We start from the raw sequence: 18,340 nt of genomic DNA on the forward strand, positions 1-18,340 counted from the left end.
GGTGCCTGCAGCCCAGGAGGCACCACAGTGGATGGGCTGATCTGTGTCCACATTCGTAGGTTGAATCCTAACCCCCAGGACCTCAGAATGTGGCTGTATTTGGAGACAGGGTTTTTAAAAGGTCACTAGGATGGGCCCTAATCTGTTATGCCTGGGGTTTCTACGAGCAGGGATCAGGACACAGACACACACAGGGAGTCCATGTGGAGGCACAGGGAGAAGGCAGCATCTACGAGCCAACGAGGGAGAAACCACCCCAGCTAACCCCGTGATCTTGGCCTTTTGGGCTCCAGAGCTGTGGGAAGGTGGGTTTCTGCTGTGCAGGCCACCCAGGCCGGGTGCCTTTATCGGGGAAGCCCCAGCTGCCTGACTCAGGCTGGGCATCGTGCAGCGGCTGGCGTGGGTGACAGTCAGCACCTCCTACACTCAGCGCACACCAGCGAGGATGGGCAACATCAGCGCCGGATGTGGGGCCACGTGCAGCAGCAGGAGGACAACCCTGTGCGGCATGTGGGTGGCGCCTGGGCAACCCTGAGTGCAAACTTGATTCTGTATCTAGAAAGGAAGGAGAGGAGGGAGTGGGCATGACACTCCACCACCTGTCCGCCACCTCTGCACTCGCCTCCGCTCCACCGGCCCAGGTCCTCTCCATGCCCCGTGTCTCCTTATATCCTAAGCTTGGCAACTGCCGCTGCCACCGCCTCTTCCTCCTCCTCCTCCTCCTCCTCCTCCTCTTTCTCCTCCTCCTCCTCTTCCTCCTCTATGAGGCCTGCCCAGCTTCCTTGGGCTTCCCTCAGCCCTGGTGCAACACACCAGGTGGGCATCAACTCTGGGGTCTGCCTGCCTCCTGGGACCACGGATTTCTGCAGGCTGGCAGGGGCTGGGTCCTCAGTCATGCCCACGATGGCCCAATACCACCTGCTGTTTGCAAAGTAGACAGCTAGTTCTGAGGTATGTGACATAGGATCTGCTGTTCCCACTGTTCCTGGGCCAGGTCGAATGTTTTACTGGCCAAAATGATGGCTGCATACATTTTATATGAATACATTGAAACACCCTTTGAGTCTCAGCATCCTCGTCCATCCCCCGGCAACAGCTCCCTGAACGGGCTTACCGTTTCTGAGGATTAGATCAGGGATGAGGCACGTGAGGTGCTTAGCACTGAAAAATTCTCCCCACTATTATTTCAGCTCAAGGTGGGCTCAGGAGATGACCTTGACAGAGAACCCTCTCCTCTGCAAAGCAGATGAACATTGGGTGTTTTAGAAGAAAGATTCTCTGAAGCCGAGCACACCAACAGCAGCACAGGAAAGTCTCCCAGGCTCCCGAGGAATGTTTCACAGCCTCCAACTGTGCCTTGGTACATATGGGAGGGAGGGAGCGTTGGCTGGTTTCAGCACGGGGCCAGGGGCCAGGTTTGCTCTCTGCATGTTTGAGGGGGTCTAGGCGGGGCAGCCAGGTCATTGTCCTCATTCCCTTCTCTGGGCTCAGTCCCCAGCTCTGCGATGGGTGGGGATGAGTCAGAAGGGAGCTGAGTAGGCCTGATTTTCCCCAGTGGGAGGAGGCTGGAGCTTTTTCTGACTTTCTCCCTACCCAACTCCAATCGCACAAAGGTGCTTGGCAATGGAACTCAATATCCATATGTTCTCCCAGGCCCCAGTACAAGCGCCTTGTTCAGACCCACAGAAATGGAAGGGCTGGGAGCTCACCTGGCTCCAATCCCCACCGGCTTTGCCTGGCCCCAGGGAGGCAGCTGTCCTTCAACAGTCACTGGGGAGGCCTGCCATTACGGTCACATGGTCTGACCCCTCTCATCTCCATGTGAAAGCTGAGGGGCTGAGGCTCAGAGAGGGCTAGTGACTTGCACCAGGTCACACAGCTGGGAGGAGGCAGAGCAGAACTCCAATGCCAAGCCTCGCTCTACCGCCCTTGGCCACCGTGGAGAATTGCCGGGACCGTCTCGCTCCCATTCAGCCGGAACGGCCCCGCGTTTGGTCTCCACAAGCCTGTTTCCTCGTTCCTCAATGGCCCCAACAGTCTCCAGCTTCCTCCTGGACTCCCACCCACAGTAGCCACCACTGAGGCCTCAGTCTTAACTTTTCCAAAGGAGACCCACCTTGGAAACCCACAACCTACAGGACCAGCCCGGCCAGTCCAGGCTCCCTCCACTGAAGTCACCCAGCCCCTGGCCAGAGCAGGGACCCCTCTGAGCTGAGCTGTCCCTGTGGCCACCTTCACCGTTCTCGGGGCTTACCTTGGGCTACCCACAGGCACAGGGCCACCCCCTTCTCACCCCAAGGTCCTGAAACCCACATTCAGTCCCCTGAAGATCACTGGTTCCTCAGACACACCACCCAGAGCCAGAACCAGACTGGACCATCAGCCGCAGCTCCAGGAAGCCGCCTGTGACCACTGCCAGCTGGGCCCGGGCCCCTCTCGGTCACGGCGCCTCTGAGCATCCTGCACATCGGAGGCTGCCCATCCACGTTTGTCTCCCCCACCAGACAGGGGGCTCCTTGTGGGCAGGGACCCCTCAGGTCTTATTCACCTCTATGTTCACAGTGCTCAATCCCAGAGCACACACAGTAGGTGCTTCGTGGCTTGTGTGTTGAGTGACCATATGATCAAACGCCTGAGGCGGGGGCATTTGCACTGGGGACAGGGCAGCTAGGACCACATCCTTCTCACCTCCGCTGAGCACCCTGGCCAGATGCCAGGGACGTCTGACATGCTGTCTGTAAACCAAAAATTAAATGCTGGGGCTCCCCAGCCATCTCAATGGACTCTATCCACTTGGCCAGGGCATGCCAAAGTTAACCTGAAAGACTGGTTCAGGCCATGATGGGAAGCGGGGGTCAGACATGCCTCACTATGCCCGCCTCCCTTTGGAATTCAGGAAAAGCTCACCAGCATTTAACATCAACGCAGACCTTAAGTCTGATGAGAAACATTTACAGTCTATTCTCTCTGAAGCCTGCTACCTGGCAGCTTCATTTGCATGACAAAACCTTACACTCCACAGAGACATTCCTTTCTACAGATATTAACTCTTTCAACCAACTGCCAATCAGAACATTTTATTTTATTTTTTTTGAGACAGGGTCTCACTCTGTTGCCCAGGCTGGAGTGCAGTGCCATGATCTTGACTCACTGCAACCTCTGCCTCCCGTCTCAAGCGATTCTCGTGCCTCAGCCACCTGAATAGATGAGATTACAGGCAAGTGCCACCATGCCTGGCTAAGTTTTGTATTTTTGGTAGAGAGCGGGTTTCACCATGTTGGCCAGGCTGGTCTCGAACTCCTGACCTCAAATGATCCACCAACCTCAGCCTCCCAAGGTGCTAGGATTACAGGTGTGAGCCACTGCGCACGGCCAGTCAGAATGTTTTAAAATCTACCTATAACTTGGAAGCTCCTGCTTTGAGTTGTCCCACTTTCTCGACCAAACCAATGTCAATCTTACATGTATTCTGATTGATGTCTCGTGTCTTCCTGACATGTATAAAATCAAGCTGCACCCCAACACCTTGGGCGCCTGTTCTCAGGGTCACATGAGGGCTGTGTCATGGTCACTCATATTTGACTCAGAATGAATCTCTTCCAGTATTTTACAGTTTCACTCTTTCCGTGGACAGGTCCTTGTCCTGGGAGAGCTCCCATCCCCATGGTGCAGAAGGGGCAGCCATGCGATCAGGGCCACCTTCCAGGCTGCAGAGAATAGTGAGTGCTCCCTCCTCCCTACTGCAACCTTTCCTGGGGCCAGGTGCTCAGGGGTTGGCCTCTTGCTGAAGAGCAACCCTGAGGCAGGGATGGACTGGCTCCTGTGAGGGTCCTGGAGTCCCCCAGGAGCTGGCACAGAGGGGCTAGGACCGGGAGTCATTTCTCCTCTTGACTAGCAGGTAGCACTGAGAAGCTACTTCCACCTGGGTGTCGGGTTTCCAAAAACAAGTGAGGTTGATGCTGCCGGGAGCCGGCCAGGTCTGCCTGCCTTCTGCATATTCTCTCCTTAACTGGCTTGCACCTGACGGAACAAAACAGAGCAGGAGGGCTCTCCCTCCCACCCCCAGGCCAGGAAGCGCCAGGCCCTCCGGACAGTTAGCTCCAAGGGGACCGAGATGTGTATGAGAACCATTAGGCCGGGAGCCACGCCAGTCCCTGGACTCGGCGCTAAGAGGCCAGCCGCTCTCAGCCTGCGCCGCCTCCTCCCTGTGTTGGCCAGAGGCCAACTAGCCCTCTGTTAAAAATAACTGCTTCAAAAGCAACTTCAAACAGAGCCCAGGAAACAAGGACGCCTGCACAGGCCCCCGAGCACAAGGACTCCTTCCTCCTCTGCTGGCAGCATCCGGTGGTTAAGTGACCCCTGCCCGCTAGGCCAGTGACCCGGAGGTCAGCACGGGCTGGCATCAGTGGGGACAGTGAAGCTGTTGCTGCCGCCTGGCCAGTCAGGCCTCCTGCAGGTCTCATGGCCGCTCCACAGTAGGGGTCAGAACCCGGGAGCTGTCGCCAGCCACCCCCCACCCCGCCCTTGCGGGGACCTGGCTGTGGCCGCGGAGCTCCCTTTTCTAGCCCTGGTCGGTTTCAGTGTGGTAGGAGTTATTAAGAAATTATTTTAGGGGCCGGGCGTGGTAGCTCACGCCTGTAATCCCAGCACTTTGGGAGGCCGAGGCGGGCGGATCCCGAGGTCAAGAGATTGAGACCATCCTGGTCAACATAATGAAACCCTGTCTCTACTAAAAAAAAAAGAAAATACAAAAATTAGCTGGACGTGGTGGTGCGTGGCTGTAGTCCCAGCTACTTGGGAGGCTGCGGCTGAAGAATAGCTTGAATCTGGGAAGCAGAGGTTGCAGTGAGCTGAGATCACGCCACTGGCCACTGCACTCCAGCCTGAAGACAGAGCGAGATTCCATCTCAAAAAAAAAAAAAAAAAGAAAAGAAAAGAAATTATTTTAGGCAGATAGAAAGGAAAAGGGGTCCTTGGGCAGTTTTCGTTTTCAAAGCAGCTCTTAGAACCAGGCAGGCACCGTTTGATATGCAAATGCAGGCCACTAGAAACTGGGTCCACCCAAACATGGCGATTCCTGTGGCCTTCTTGCCCTTGCCCCACATGTCCCTGGCACCATGGCCACCCCCACATATCCACATGTATGTGGAACATCAGGGCGCCCTGCATTTGCATATTAAAAGACTAGGGTGGGAGGGCCAGCTTTTCCATGGGCTATGTGAATGACACGCCTGGTCAAACCAATCGCCTAAGCCCTATGCAAATCAGACACTGCCACCTCGAGCCCGTGTATATACCTGACTGGTATCCACCCCACTTGGGGTTCCCTGTCTTGGCTTTGGAGCCCCCCCTCCCTCTTTCTCTCTACCAGGGAGCTTCTTCCTTCTGCCTTTCTTCTTTCTTGCCTATTAAACTCTCCGCTCTTTAAGACTACACCACGTGTGTCCGCGTTGTTTTTTCTAATTCTACTAGAGATGAAGACCCTGGTGTTTCTCCACTCATCGGAGCCACATCATCAGGAGACAGGGTGGTGTTCCCATGCACACATGCAAGCCACAGTGTGGTCTGGTGGCCTTGGCGTGAGAGGCTCCCTCACTCAGGTCCCTTCCACAGGCCTTTGGTGGGCATGGAAGGATCTCACAAATGGTGCGGGCCCTGTGGTCACTTCGGAGTCACACACTGTGGCTTGCTGAGGGAAGGGCTGCTGCCTTGCTCATCCCTGAGACCCAGCGCAGCCTCAGGGTAGCTTGTAGAATGAATCATGGACTGCAGCAGCTATTTGAGAGGACAACAAAATTCACAATGTGCCAGCTAGCTGCTGCGATCCTGGCCAAGCTCACAGCGGGATTTCATCGCGTGACTCTTCTGCCACTGTGGAAGGCAGAAAAGGGCAGACTTCCCCTGGGACCCCCTCCCCTGCCAAAAGCAGAGCTGCTAGGAGAGCATCAGGGACACAGGTGGGAAGCCAGGGCCCCTGCCTGCCCCCGTGCAGGCCTCCAGCCCTGCCTGCTCTGCTGGCCAGCAGGGGAGCTGGCCTTCCAGGAAGGGTCCAGATGCTGGGCATCCTGCAGCTTCGCTCAGACGGGCCTGCATCGGAATGCTGTCCTGAACCCCATCAGACACTCTGAATGCCCCACTTTGTTCCCTGCAGGCACAGCTGCTCAAACAAGAGCCCAGACTTGCCGCTACAGGACATCAGAGTCACTCAGGACCCCCAAGGTAGCCTGCTTGGTGGAATGGATGAGGTCTACGGGATACCCCACATTCGAGAGTAAGTGGGAGGCCAGGGGTTGCTGAGATCCGCAGCAGGATGAGGACATGGCCTGGCCTGTGGGCCTTAGGGGTGTCCTCAGGTCCTGGACCACCAGCCAGATGGGGCCATAGACCACCCTTGGGTCACAGACCACCAGCCAGATGGGGACTGCCCCAAATCACTAAGCTAAAGGGAAAAGTCCAGCTGGAAACTGCTTGGGGCCAACCTGCCTCCCATTCTATTCAAAGTCACCCCTCTGCTCACTGAGATAAGTGCAGATCTGATTGCCTCCTTTCAGAACTCAAAAGAATGCAATCACTTGTCTCCTATCTACCCATGACCTGGAAGCCCCCTCCACGCTTTGAGTCATCCTGCCTTTGCTTCAAGTTTTCCCGCCTTTCCAGACTGAACCAATGTTCATCTTGCATATGTTGATTGATGTCTCATGTCTGCCTAAAATGTATAAAACCAAACTGTGCTCTGACCACCTTGCACACATATCACCAGGACCTCCTGAGGCTGTGTCACGGGTGCACATCCTTAATCTTGGCAAAATAAACTTTCTAAATTAACTGAGACCTGTCTGGGATTTTCGGGGTTCACAGACATGAGGGGGGTCTTGGGGACTGTTTGGGCCCCCTAACACTGTAGTTGTTCTCAAATTTTCACAGCCATTGGAGTTCACCAAATGAGAGAAAAGCTCAGCAGGCCAGTCCACAAAGGCTCTTAGATGCCTCTTTGCTATGTACACTCCAAAATTTGTGTGTTGGAAACTTGGTGTCCTTTGTGACAGTGTTGGAGGTGGGGCGTTTGGGAAGTGACTGTTCATGAGGGCTCTGCCTTCCTGAATGGACTGATGCCATTACTGTGGGAGTGGGTTAGTTATCTCGGGAGTTTGGCCCCTTTTTCCTCTTTGTTCATGAGTTCCCGCCTTCTCTCCCCGTCCTGCCACGGGACGGCTCTCATCAGATGCCGCACCCTGCTCCTGGATTTCCCCACCTCCAGAACCATGAGCTGAATTAACTTCTTTTTACGTAGATTACCTTGCCTGTGGTATTCTGTGATATCAACAGAAAACAAAGATGCCCTTGTTCCATCTGTATTATTGCTCACCAGTCTACTTGTTTACCCTCCCCACCTCCTAAGCCTGGCTGCCCCCATCCTGCAGCCCGTGGGACTGGACAATGAGCCTGTAGAATCTGGTCAGTGTCCTCTTAACTGTACAAAGATGGTGCAGGAGCAGTGAAGGGTACATCAGAGACACCAGTGAATGCCACCAACCTTGTTTCTGTCTTCAGTTCTGGCTGCTTGTCGACACGCCGGATGCCAGATGGAGGAACCTGTTGACAAATTCCCAAGAGGGAAATGATTAGAGTTATTTCCCATGTTGCAGGGGCCTGTGTGGAAACGCAGAGGAGGGAGCTGGTCCATGCACAGACGTGCACTCGGACTCCACCCTCCAAGCGGCCCTGAGCATCCTCTCTGTGCTGGAGTTAGTGCCGGGCAGGGGGTACCCAGATCACAGTCCCCGCCCCTCAGGGGCTCACAGCCCAGTTGTGGGACGGAGGCAGCAAACAAACAGGGAAATGGCTGCTGTGCACTAACTGCTCCCACAGGAGGAGGCATAGGGTCTTGAGGAACCTGGGGGGCAGCTGGAAGATTCTTCTCTGAGGAGGGGGTATTTGAAGGGGTTTCAAGTCCCTGCCTAGGATGTAGGATTGGCTGCCTGCATGTTGAGGGCAATGGCTGGGCCCACCTGCAGAGACAGCTGGTGCTGCAACCTGGGTGGGAGCCAGCCTTGGGGAGGAGGACTTGCAGGGCAGGGCTCTAAGCTGAGAGGTAGGAAGAGAGAACCTCAGCTGGGAAGTGGGCCTGCTCCTTAGGGTATGGGGTGAAGAACAGGTGTGTTCGGTGGGAGCTGGGCACAAGGCTCAAACACCAGCCCCACCCTGTTACTAATTTACTCAGTCTCTGTGGCTTCTTGTGTCTCAGTTTCTCTAGCTGTCAGTTCTGCCCAGTCACCCATGTCAACAGCCACTACCATCAACATAACAAGGCCACCCGGCACCAAGTGCCCCCAGCATCCCTGGCACTCTGGTCTCTACTAATTCAACCTCAAACTACCCCAAGTCTTTGTTTTTGTTTTTTTTTTTTCCACCTAAGAATAGAGCTAATAAGAATTCTACCTTGTCAGGTCACTGGGTGAATTTAATAAAATCAAGCAGAGGTAATAAAGTATCAGAAAAGTGCTTTGTGAGTTGCTGCATACAAATGTTAGTTGCATTAGTGCGATCCTTCTTGTGCATGGGGGACTCAGTGAATGTCAACTCTCTCTGCCCACCTTCCCATCCTTCAGGATCTGGGGCACTTGCTCCTCCTGGGGCCTCCCTGAACCTCAGCCTGACCTGCCGCTCCCTGTGATGGGCTGGCACTGTGCTCACACACCCAGCCTGACCTGCTGCCCCCTGCGATGGGCTGGCACTGCACTCACACACCCAGCCTGACCCGCCACTCCCTGCGAGGGGCTGGCACTGCACTCACACATCCAGCCTGACCCGCCACTCCCTGTGATGGGCTGGCACTGCACTCACACACCCTCTGCTAGGTGCATGGCTGTGTCTCCATCTCTCACCCTTTGCTCCCACGAAGGTGAGGGCTGTGGCTGACTTGTGTATCCCACAAAAAAGCCACACAGGCTAGCACATGGTAGGGGCTGAAAAGTGTGTGTGCAATGAGGGAACTTATCCCATCTCCTGCCTGCAAAGCCCTCTGGGTCATGTGGATTTCATGGCGGCTCGTTTCTAGGGACATAGCAGCAACTCGAAGCTCTGAGAGATGGTGATTGGACTACATGTGTGTGTGAGTGCATAGAAAACATTTCTTGTTTATAAATTAAAAATAAATTATGACCATAAAAGTAATAGGGCTGGGCGCGGTGGCTCACGCCTGTAATCCCAGCACTTCAGGAGGCCAAGGTGGGTGGATCACTCGAGGTCAGGAGTTTAAGACCAGCCTGGCCAACATGGTGAAACCCCATCTCTATCAAAAATAGAAAAATTAGCCAGGCATTGTGGTGGCTACCTGTAGTCCCAGCTACTCAGGAGGCTGAGGCAGGAGAATCGCTTGAACTTGGGAGGCAGAGGTTGCAGTGAGCTGAGATTGCACCATTGCATTCCAGCCTGGGTAACAGAGCAAGACTCTGTCTCAAAAAAAAAAAAAAAAAAAAAAAAAAAGTAACAGATGTCTCTTATTAAAAATTATAGAAACCTTAAAAAATGTAAATGAAATTAAAATCATTTCTAATCTCTCACCCACTTTTTGTTGGCTGCCTTATAGTACAGGTGTACCTACAAATGGAAGGGGTTCAGTGTAATACACAGTTTCTTCTTTCTTTCTTTCTTTTTTTTTTTTTTTTTGAGACAGGGTCTCACTCTGTTACCCAGCATGGCAGTGGTGCAAATATAGCTCACTGCAGCCCCCACCTCTTGGTCTCAAGCAATCCTCCTGCCTCAGCCTCCCAAGTAACTGGGACTACAGAAGCATAGCACCATGCCCAGCTAATTTTTCATTTTTTTGTAGAGATGGGGTCTCACTATATTGACTAGGCTGGTCTCAAACTCCTGGGCTCAAGCAATCTGCCTGCCTTGGCCTCCCAAAGTGCTGGGATTACAGGCATGAGCCACCACACCCAGGCTACAGACACAATTTCATATCCTACATATTTGCTTAAAAATGTCTTGAACAGGCCGGGTGCTGTGGCTCACACCTGTAATCCCAGCACTTTGGGAGGCTGAGGCAGGCGGATCACGAGGTCAGGAGATCGAGACCATTCTGGCTAACATGGTGAAACCCCGTCTCTACTAAAAATACAAAAAATTAGCTGGGCATGGTGGCGGGCGCCTGTAGTCCCAGCTGCTCGGGAGGCTGAGGCAGGAGAATGGCGTGAACTCGGGAGGCGGAGCTTGCAGTGAGCCAAGATCGCACCACTGCACTCCACCCTGGGCGACAGAGCGAAACTCCGTCTCAAAAAAAAAAAAAAAAAAAAAAAAAAGTCTTGAACATTTCCCAGTTAATTAAATTAAATATCAAAACATGCAACTTTAAGGGCTATACAATGTGGACAGATAAGAATTTTATCTCTCTACTCCTCTCCTGATCTTTCTTTTTTCTTTCCTTTTCTTTTCTTTCTTTCTTTTTTTTTTTTTTTTTTAAGACAAAGTCTCACTCTGTTGTCCAGGCTAGAGTGCAGTTATGCAATCTCAGCTCACTGCAACCTCTGCCTCCCAGGTTCAAGAGACTCTCATGCCTCAGCCTTCTGAGTAGCTGGGATTACAGGCATGCGCCACCACACCCAGTTTTAGTAGAGATGGGGTTTCGCCATGTTGGCCAGGCTGGTCTTGAACTTCCGACTTCGGGTGATCCATCCACCTCTGCCTCCCAAAGTGCTGGAATTACAGGCATGAGCCACTGCACCTGGCCTCCTCTTTTGATCTTTCTAACGTTTTATTTATTTCTAAATGACATTGCAGGGGCTCCACTGCACACAACTGGCACATACTTCCTAGAAATGGAGTCTTGGCTCAAAGAGTGGGGTCATGTTTAGGGCTCTTGAGATTTTTCTGTCAGTTTCCCAATTTTCGCCCCTACTAGCTGCATAAGAGGCCTGTGTCCTTGACTTCTCACCAACATGGGGCTCACACTTCCTTTTTATCTTTTCACCCCAGTGGGAAAAAGGAGTATCTCATTATTTTAATACGGGCATCTTAACAATTAGCAGGATCTAATGCCCCACCCCATGTTTATGGGAAAGTCCGCGGCAGGAACGGTGGTGGCATTGCGGGGGTTGGCCTGCCTCATCGCCCAGGAGACCGTGGGGGTCGCTGGGGCCCATGCTTTTCAGAGCCTTTATTGCAGCAGGATTTGCCAGCCAAATAACATCTGCATGGAGCCCCGACATCCCTGGAGGCCACACAGAGGGTCTCAGGATGACCAGGCAGGGTGGGTGCCCCAAGGAGGCCTGTGCCAGGGAGCAGAGCCTCAAAGCCACACAGCTGGTCAGACCTGTCATGATTCAGACTGAGAAATCCAAGTTAGGAGAGGGGACAGGCCTGGGTTCGACATCCCACAGAACCTCACAGCAGAAGCGGGGGCTGGCCTCAGGCCAGTCCTGAAGGGCGCCTTTGTTCCTGAGATGAGGTTACCCTTGATGTGAACTCGTGTCCCCGAGCTGCTGTCCCAAGGCCATTGTGCTCAGTGTCCACCGTGCCCCACTGTCTAAGGGTGCCCTTTACTGTGGGGGCCAAACCCCATGCAGAGCAAGGCCCCTGCCCAGACAGCCTGGCACTGCTGGGACGGTCCCAAAGGACCCTTTGACGGGCTCTCGAGCAGAGACTCAAGGAACAGGCGACACCGGGGACGAGGCTGTCCTGTCTGACATCACCCCGCTGGGTTCGGCCTGAGAAAGGCAGGCCTGTGTGATCCACGGCCCTGTGACAATGGCCGCATGAGGTCATTCAACAGCCCGCAGGCACCTGCACGGCAGACGCTCTGACAGCAGCTCTCCCAGACCTGGCCGGGCCCAGCTGGCCTCTGGGAGCACTGGTGACAGAGAATCTTCAAAAGGGAGCTGTGGCTAAAGAGATGAAGTCACAATAGCAGACCTGTCCTCGCCGGGGCCCCTATGCCCCGTCCAATCCATCATCAAGTCTGGGGGCTGCACTCCAGCACATGGCCCCTGTCCCACCAGTGCTCGCTGGGACCAGACCCTTGGGTCAGGCTCCTCTGAACCCTCTTCTCAATTAGGCCTCGAACTTTGCCCAGGTCTCCACCATCACCCTCCCAACCCATCCAGTCTTAGGCCTGCCTGGCTCAGTTTCAGCGAGAATACTGCAAAATCAGTCTGGCAGGAATCCCCTGGCCTAGAAGCCTAATCTCCCTCCACTTCTGATTGAGTTCCTCATCCCATCTTTGACGACTCAGTCCTTAGCCTGTCTTCGGCAACCATCTTGTGGGGTCAGTTCAGCAAGAAGCCCAGTACCTCGAGCGACTTTCCACCTGCTGCCCCAACCCTGCTCATTGGCTGCAACCCCCACTGTCTGCCATATTCAAAATCTCACCCCCTCTCTCATCCATTGCGATGGTCCTGACTCCTGTTGGGAAGAGTCTTCCTTACCGGTTTTAATGAGTGCCACAATAATTTTCCTTAGCAGGGAGTGCTCAGGGAATGAATAAGCAATACATAGCGGGGTGGTCAGAGTGATAAGATGAAGCATAACTCTAGGTGCCTGTCTGCAAGGAGAGTGATGGGGCTCAGAACATGCCACCCCAAACAGGACTAGCAGGCCAGAATTTGCTGCCCCTGACATGCCCCTCTGGCATAAGGGTTATTTTGAGTTGATTACTGGGGGAAACAGCAGACTCAGAAAAGCATTGAAAACCAAGCAGAAGTGACCATTTTGTAAGGGGAACTGAGATCTCCAAAGGAAACCTCCAACTCTAACGGTGTCTCCTCTCTGCACCAGGAAGATGAGGATGACCGGAAGTCCCTGGGTCTCTTCTCAGTGGAGAAGGCACACAGCACTCCTCCCCCTTGCCTAAGGTGCCCCCTGTCCCCCGGCCCCCCCACTTGACATAACTATGCCTCCCCACACCTTTCTTCTTTGTTGTAGGGGATGCCGTTGTCTCAGCCTGAGGTCAAAACTGCCTCTTTGATGGCCGGGGCATGGTGGATCATACCTGTAATCTCAGCACTTTGGGAGGCCGAGGCGGGCAGATTGCCTGAGGTCAGGAGTTTGAGACTAGCCCGACCAACATGATGAAACCCCATCTGTACTAAAAATACAAAAAAAAATTAGCCGGGTATGGTGGTGCATGCCTGTAATCCCAGCTACTTGGAAGGCTGAGGCAGGAGAATTGCTTGAACCCAGGAGGTGGAGGTTGCAGTGAGCCAAGATCTTGCCACTGCACTTCCAGCCTGGGCAACAGAGCAAGACTCTGTTTCAAAAAAAAAAAAAAAAAAAAACCCCAAAAAACCCCAAAGCTGCCTCTTGGAGATCTGCCCCTGCGTGTCCTGTGTGTCCTCATTTCTCTGGGCCACCCTTTGCACGTACACAAGGTGCACATGTTAATAAGCTTCTGTTCATCCTTATCTTGTTAATCTGTCTTGTTACAGGGATCTGTCCCAACTAAGACCTATAAAAGGTAGAAAATTGTGTTTCTTCCCCTTATAAGAGTCGTTGTCTCCCTCCTCCCCTGCCACTGGATACCTGCATTGTGAAGGTATAAAGGGTAGCCGAATGCCGCCATCAGAAGCTTAATTTAATTGTGAAAATGAGAAGCTATGAGCTAAAAAGGGTTAATCTGGGAGGAGGAGAGACGACCAGTCCTCAAGTCTCGCCCTTTCTTCAGGTCTGGCAGCCCACAGGACGCCCCGCCTTTGTGATGACACTTATTTTTAATGGTGAGGGGGCCTGGGCCATTTCCCATGGGGCCTGTTAGAAGTCCGCTACATTTTCCTCCAAATCCTCCTTTCGTCAATGCTCTGTGGGGCTGGCTCTTCCCTTGCTCCTGGAAGAAAGCCTCGGCTGCTGCCAGTGACCCTCAGTACCTCATTACCAACCTCCTTTGTGGACAGAGGGGTTGCAGCAGGCTGGGGTGGCTGGGGCGGGAAACACCTAAAACTCCTAACTTGGACTCCCTGAGCTGGGGCGGCTTTCTAGAAGGGGCCTAAAGTGGCGACGGATGTGATCAGGCCGTATTTGTTTAAGCTTTGCTACTTGGAGCCAAATAGCCAGCACTTCTGGGTGCTGGTCTTTGGCTCGGCCCTTTTCCTTTCTTGCTGGTCTCGGGCTCGCTGAGATCATTGGACAGACAAGGCAGGCTGACGAGGCTGGCCTGGCACGTGCCACCGCCCTGCCCTGCCGGCTCCCCGCTGTGGCTGGGCTGCTCGTGACCTAGCGAGATGACACTGTCACCAACCTGTTCACACCCAGCATGTGTGTGGACATCGAAGAGGGTAGTTCCTTGCTCTAGGGGACCAAACAACACATTTTAATTTGTACCTTGAAGATACATCTCTTCGCCTTCTGCAAACATCTGGCCGCACCTGACACATAGCGCGCAGGAAGGGTGGTAGTGCTTCTCTCCGGCCTGTAAGAAAAGCACAAAGCAGAATGTTTCTACTAAAGCCAGAAAGGTCGGCTGGGTCCCAGCGCCCGGCATGGATACAGCATGCCCTGAGCACAGGTACTCAGGGGATACTGGAAGGGCCAGCCCCCACCATCGGGACCCAAGACCCCTGAGCAGAGCCCAGACCCGGGGGTGCCCCCGGGCTGTCCAAGGCGCCCTGTGGGGAGGCAGGGGGAGACCTGGCTGCACTTGCCCAGCCTGCAGGAGCCCAGCATGCAGCTCCCTGCCGGGGTAGTCCAGGAGGGGTCAGCCTCCTTTACCAGGCGGCATCCAGAGAGAGGTCTTGGTATTTCCAGAGGGAGCGGGAGGGACAGGAGGAGGAAGAAAAGGGGAGAGGGAGGGGAGGGAAAGATAATATGATTTCCCTAGGTGCAAGAATTAGGGGAGTGGGGTGAAAAAGGATGAATACTTTCCTTTTCACATCTCTGTATTGCTCAGTATGTTCAATGAGCATTTTGTTTTTATCATTCTTGAAGTTTATTAAATTAGACTACAAATGCTAATACTGAAATAACCCAAACAAACCACATTGCCTGGTTTGGCTTATTTTTGCCTGGAGCAAAAAAAAAAAAAATCACCCCGAAATGCTCCCTTTACCCCCACGTTCCAGCACACACTTCCTACCCTGAGGGCACGGCGGGTGCAGCCTATTGCTAAATGTGGATGCTAAATCCCCGTGGCTCATTCTTTCCTAAAACGGGAAGAAGTTTCCTAATCCCTACCTACATCTGAATTTATAATAACCAGTTTCCTGAATCAGTAAGTAAAGGGCTGAAATGTCATTTTGAGCATCCCGTTTTCCCTGTCCTGTGCCTTCCCTAGGATGAAAACAGCCCCGAGATGGCCCCTGTGTATTGGGAGGAAGAGCCCAGAGCAGGCTTTTCTCCTGCGCAGAGCCTGGTGTGGCCTCCTCTGCCAACCTCCGGGCCAGGTGATAAGGCCGTGAATCTTCCAGCAAAGGGGCTCTTCCCGCAGGGCCCAGGCCTCGGCACCAGCTGTCCCCTCCACTGGAGCAGCCCTCCCACACTCCCACCCCTGCCACCCTGACTGCTATCTCATCCCACCTGCCACCTCCACTCGGGAGCTTTCTCTGAACCCTTCCCCAATCTGGGCATTCACAGCCCCATTTCCACACTGTTCAGGGATTACTTGGGTGTATTCTTCCCCACTAGATGGCCAGTCTCTCAAGCGCAGGGCCTGGCACCTGGGCCACGTCAGGGAGTACCAGGTGCAGGGATCTCTCTGGATAGCAGGTCACACCACAGCATCTGGCCCCAGAATGTGGGTGAAACAATCATTTCGCTGATCACAATTATTCAAATGCCCAGTGGTCTGGGTAGCACTCTTTTTTTTTTTTTTTGAGACGGAGTCTCACTCTGTCGCCCTGGCTGGATGGAGTGCAGTGGCGCGATCTTGGATCACTGCAAGCTCTGCCCCCCAGGTTCACACCATTCTCCTGCCTCAGCCTCCGAGTAGCTGGGACTACAGACCCCCACCACCACGCCTGGCTAATTTTTTTGTATTTTTAGTAGAGACGGGGTTTCACTGTGTTAGCCAGGATGGTCTCGATCTCCTGACCTCGTGATCCGCCCGCCTCAGCCTCCCAAAGTGTTGGGATTACAGGCATGAGCCACCACGCCCGGCCTGGTCTGAGTAGCACTCTTAAGTGTAAATCAGAGATTGAGACAGCTCTGTATTTTTAAAAATAAAAGTCACCAGGTATCAACGTCACAGTTGTCAACTGCTGGCTCACTGCATTCATAATGAGTATTCCTGAGTTTGTGGCCTGTGACCTGTCCTCACACCTGCTTAAATCCAGGTGCCCCCACTTCACACTGACTTCCTCTAACAGCAGGAGTTCTGTGACAGCCACAGGGGACAGAAAGCAACCCTGCAGGGCAAACAAACCCTGCTGTCTACACAGCATGTCTACATGGCACGTCCACATGTGAATCAAGGGAGAACACTGCTGGGACAGCTTCTTTTTTTTGAGACAGAGTCTCGCTCTGTTGCCCAGGCTGGAGTGCAGTGGTGCAATCTCAGCTCACTGCAACCTCTGCCTCCCGGGTTCAAGTGATTCTCCTGCCTCAGCCTCCCGAGTAGCTGGGACTGCAGGCACACGCCACCACGCCCAGCTAATTTTTGTATTTTTAGTAGAGATGGGGTTTCACCATTGTTGGCCAGGATGGTCTCAATCTCTTGACCTTGTGATCTGCCCCCCTTGGCTTCCCAAAGTGCTGAGATTATAGGCGTGAGCCACCGTGTCCAGCCTTCTGGGACAGTTTCTAAGACGATGGGCTTGAGCCCTCCACAGCAGCAGTGGCTATGGTCTCCACAGCTCGGGCCAAGAAGCCTGTTACACACATTAACTTGTCAAGTCCTTGCAGCAGTGCTATGGGTATATTATTACTCTCACTGACCATAACAGGCACAGAGAGGTGGAAGAGCTTGAGCAAGGTCACACAGCAGCAGGTGGTAGAGCTGCGGTTACAGTCCAGGAGCCTGGCCCCCGAGTGCAGAGCTTAAGCCCATGCCCAGGCCTGGCAGGCACTCAACCCCCAGCCTGGCTGTCCGCAAGTCCTGGTACAGATCTCAGGTCTGGGGTGTGCACCCCCTGCTCACATGCTCACTGCTAAGGCTTGAATGTTTGTCCCTGTTAGATACAGTTATGTTCCCTCTTCAAACAGCTTATCCAGTTTCCCCATTCTCTGTACTATAATTCCAAATACCCCCCTTGCCTTTGCTGTGCCCCAACTTGTCTGAATAAGCCTAGGCATGCCTGGACTTGCTACAGCCCCAGTCCACATTCCTTTCGTTACCAGGGAATAAGTTACCTTCCTAGTCGCTCCATAAATGACCCCCTTTCTCTCTCTTCTCACCTCCCTTACATGCCTACCTTATCTAAGAAAGTTTAAATGTTTAGCCCATTGGGACTAGTTTAGACTGTGCAGTCCGATCCTAGCCAATAGAGGAAAGACACAGAAGCAGAAGCTGCGTTAGAGATAATAAAAACCCTGATTTCCTTTGTTCTGTGTGCTCTCGCCATTGCTCCACAAGCGAGACATGCTCTTCTGCAGAAATAAATTTGCCTTGCTGAGAAACCCTTTGTCCTTTGTCCAGTGCTCATTCTTCTTTGTGGCACCGAGCATTTGTTTTCAACATCCCCTTCAAAACTCATGTTGAAATCTAATCACCTGTGTGGCAGTATTGAGAGGGGGGCCCTTAAGAGGGGAGCAGACCGTGAAGGTCCTGCCATCAGGATGGACTGATACATTCATGGATTAACAGGCCATCATGGGAACAGGACGGGTGGCTCTGAAGACAGGAGGAAAGCTCTGAGCCAGCCAGCATGCTCGGCCCCTCACCATGGGACTCTGCAGAAAGTTCCCAACAGCCACAGGATGTGCCCCCTTCACGCTGGACTTCACAGCCTCCATCACTTTAGGAAATCCATCCTTTTCTTTATAAATTCCCCAGGAGTTTCAGGTATTCTGTTACATGTCACAGGAGTGAACTAACACACGCCGCACCCTCGTGTCCTGAACGAACAACATGGAGGATGCTGGTGAACTGATCCAAGCCAAGAAGTCGGACACAAGAGAACAGGCCCCAGGTTTAGGATGTTCAAAACCAGGCAAAGCGATCTACCTGGCTAGGGTGCCCTTGGGGACTCACGGGGGAGTCTGGGGCACCAGACCTGTTCTCTTTCTTGACTCGGTACTGGTTCCATGGGTGTGTCCAGTTTGTAAAAATGTACCAAGATGCACAGGTATAATTCACGCACCCCTCTGTGTGTATTACATGCCAACAAAGCAAAGACCTAAACGCAAGAGCTAAAACTGAAAAACGATTAGAAGAAAACATGCTGTTAAGAGGACAGGTGCAGTGGCTCACACCTGT

At 53.3% G+C, this 18,340-nt stretch overlaps 1 protein-coding gene across 51 annotated transcripts in view, besides 2 other annotated features; it reads right to left on the minus strand.

Moving 5' to 3' along the window:
• ABLIM2 (actin binding LIM protein family member 2) overlaps positions 1 to 18,340 on the minus strand; it is a 193,487-nt gene that overhangs the window by 81,327 nt on the left and 93,820 nt on the right. For all 51 annotated transcript variants that reach the window (NM_001130086.2, NM_032432.5, NM_001130085.2 and 48 more), the window contains 2 exons: positions 14,314 to 14,401; positions 7,535 to 7,593 (listed from right to left, as the gene is read on the minus strand). In NM_001130086.2, the coding sequence (NP_001123558.1) occupies positions 7,535 to 7,593; positions 14,314 to 14,401 (147 nt within the window). The remainder of the gene's footprint in view (positions 1 to 7,534; positions 7,594 to 14,313; positions 14,402 to 18,340) is intronic.
• Positions 2,581 to 3,192: an enhancer, noted in NCBI's record as "OCT4-NANOG-H3K27ac-H3K4me1 hESC enhancer chr4:8050961-8051572 (GRCh37/hg19 assembly coordinates)". NCBI's record gives its function as "activates a minimal SCP1, AML or CMV promoter by ChIP-STARR-seq in naive and primed H9 embryonic stem cells {active_cell/tissue: H9 hESC(naive and primed)}" and the evidence as "EXISTENCE:reporter gene assay evidence [ECO:0000049][PMID:30033119]".
• Positions 13,657 to 14,384: an enhancer, noted in NCBI's record as "H3K4me1 hESC enhancer chr4:8062037-8062764 (GRCh37/hg19 assembly coordinates)". NCBI's record gives its function as "activates a minimal SCP1, AML or CMV promoter by ChIP-STARR-seq in primed H9 embryonic stem cells {active_cell/tissue: H9 hESC(primed)}" and the evidence as "EXISTENCE:reporter gene assay evidence [ECO:0000049][PMID:30033119]".

This window comes from Homo sapiens, chromosome 4 (genome assembly GCF_000001405.40).
Source record: "Homo sapiens chromosome 4, GRCh38.p14 Primary Assembly".
Lineage (NCBI taxonomy): Eukaryota > Metazoa > Chordata > Mammalia > Primates > Hominidae > Homo > Homo sapiens.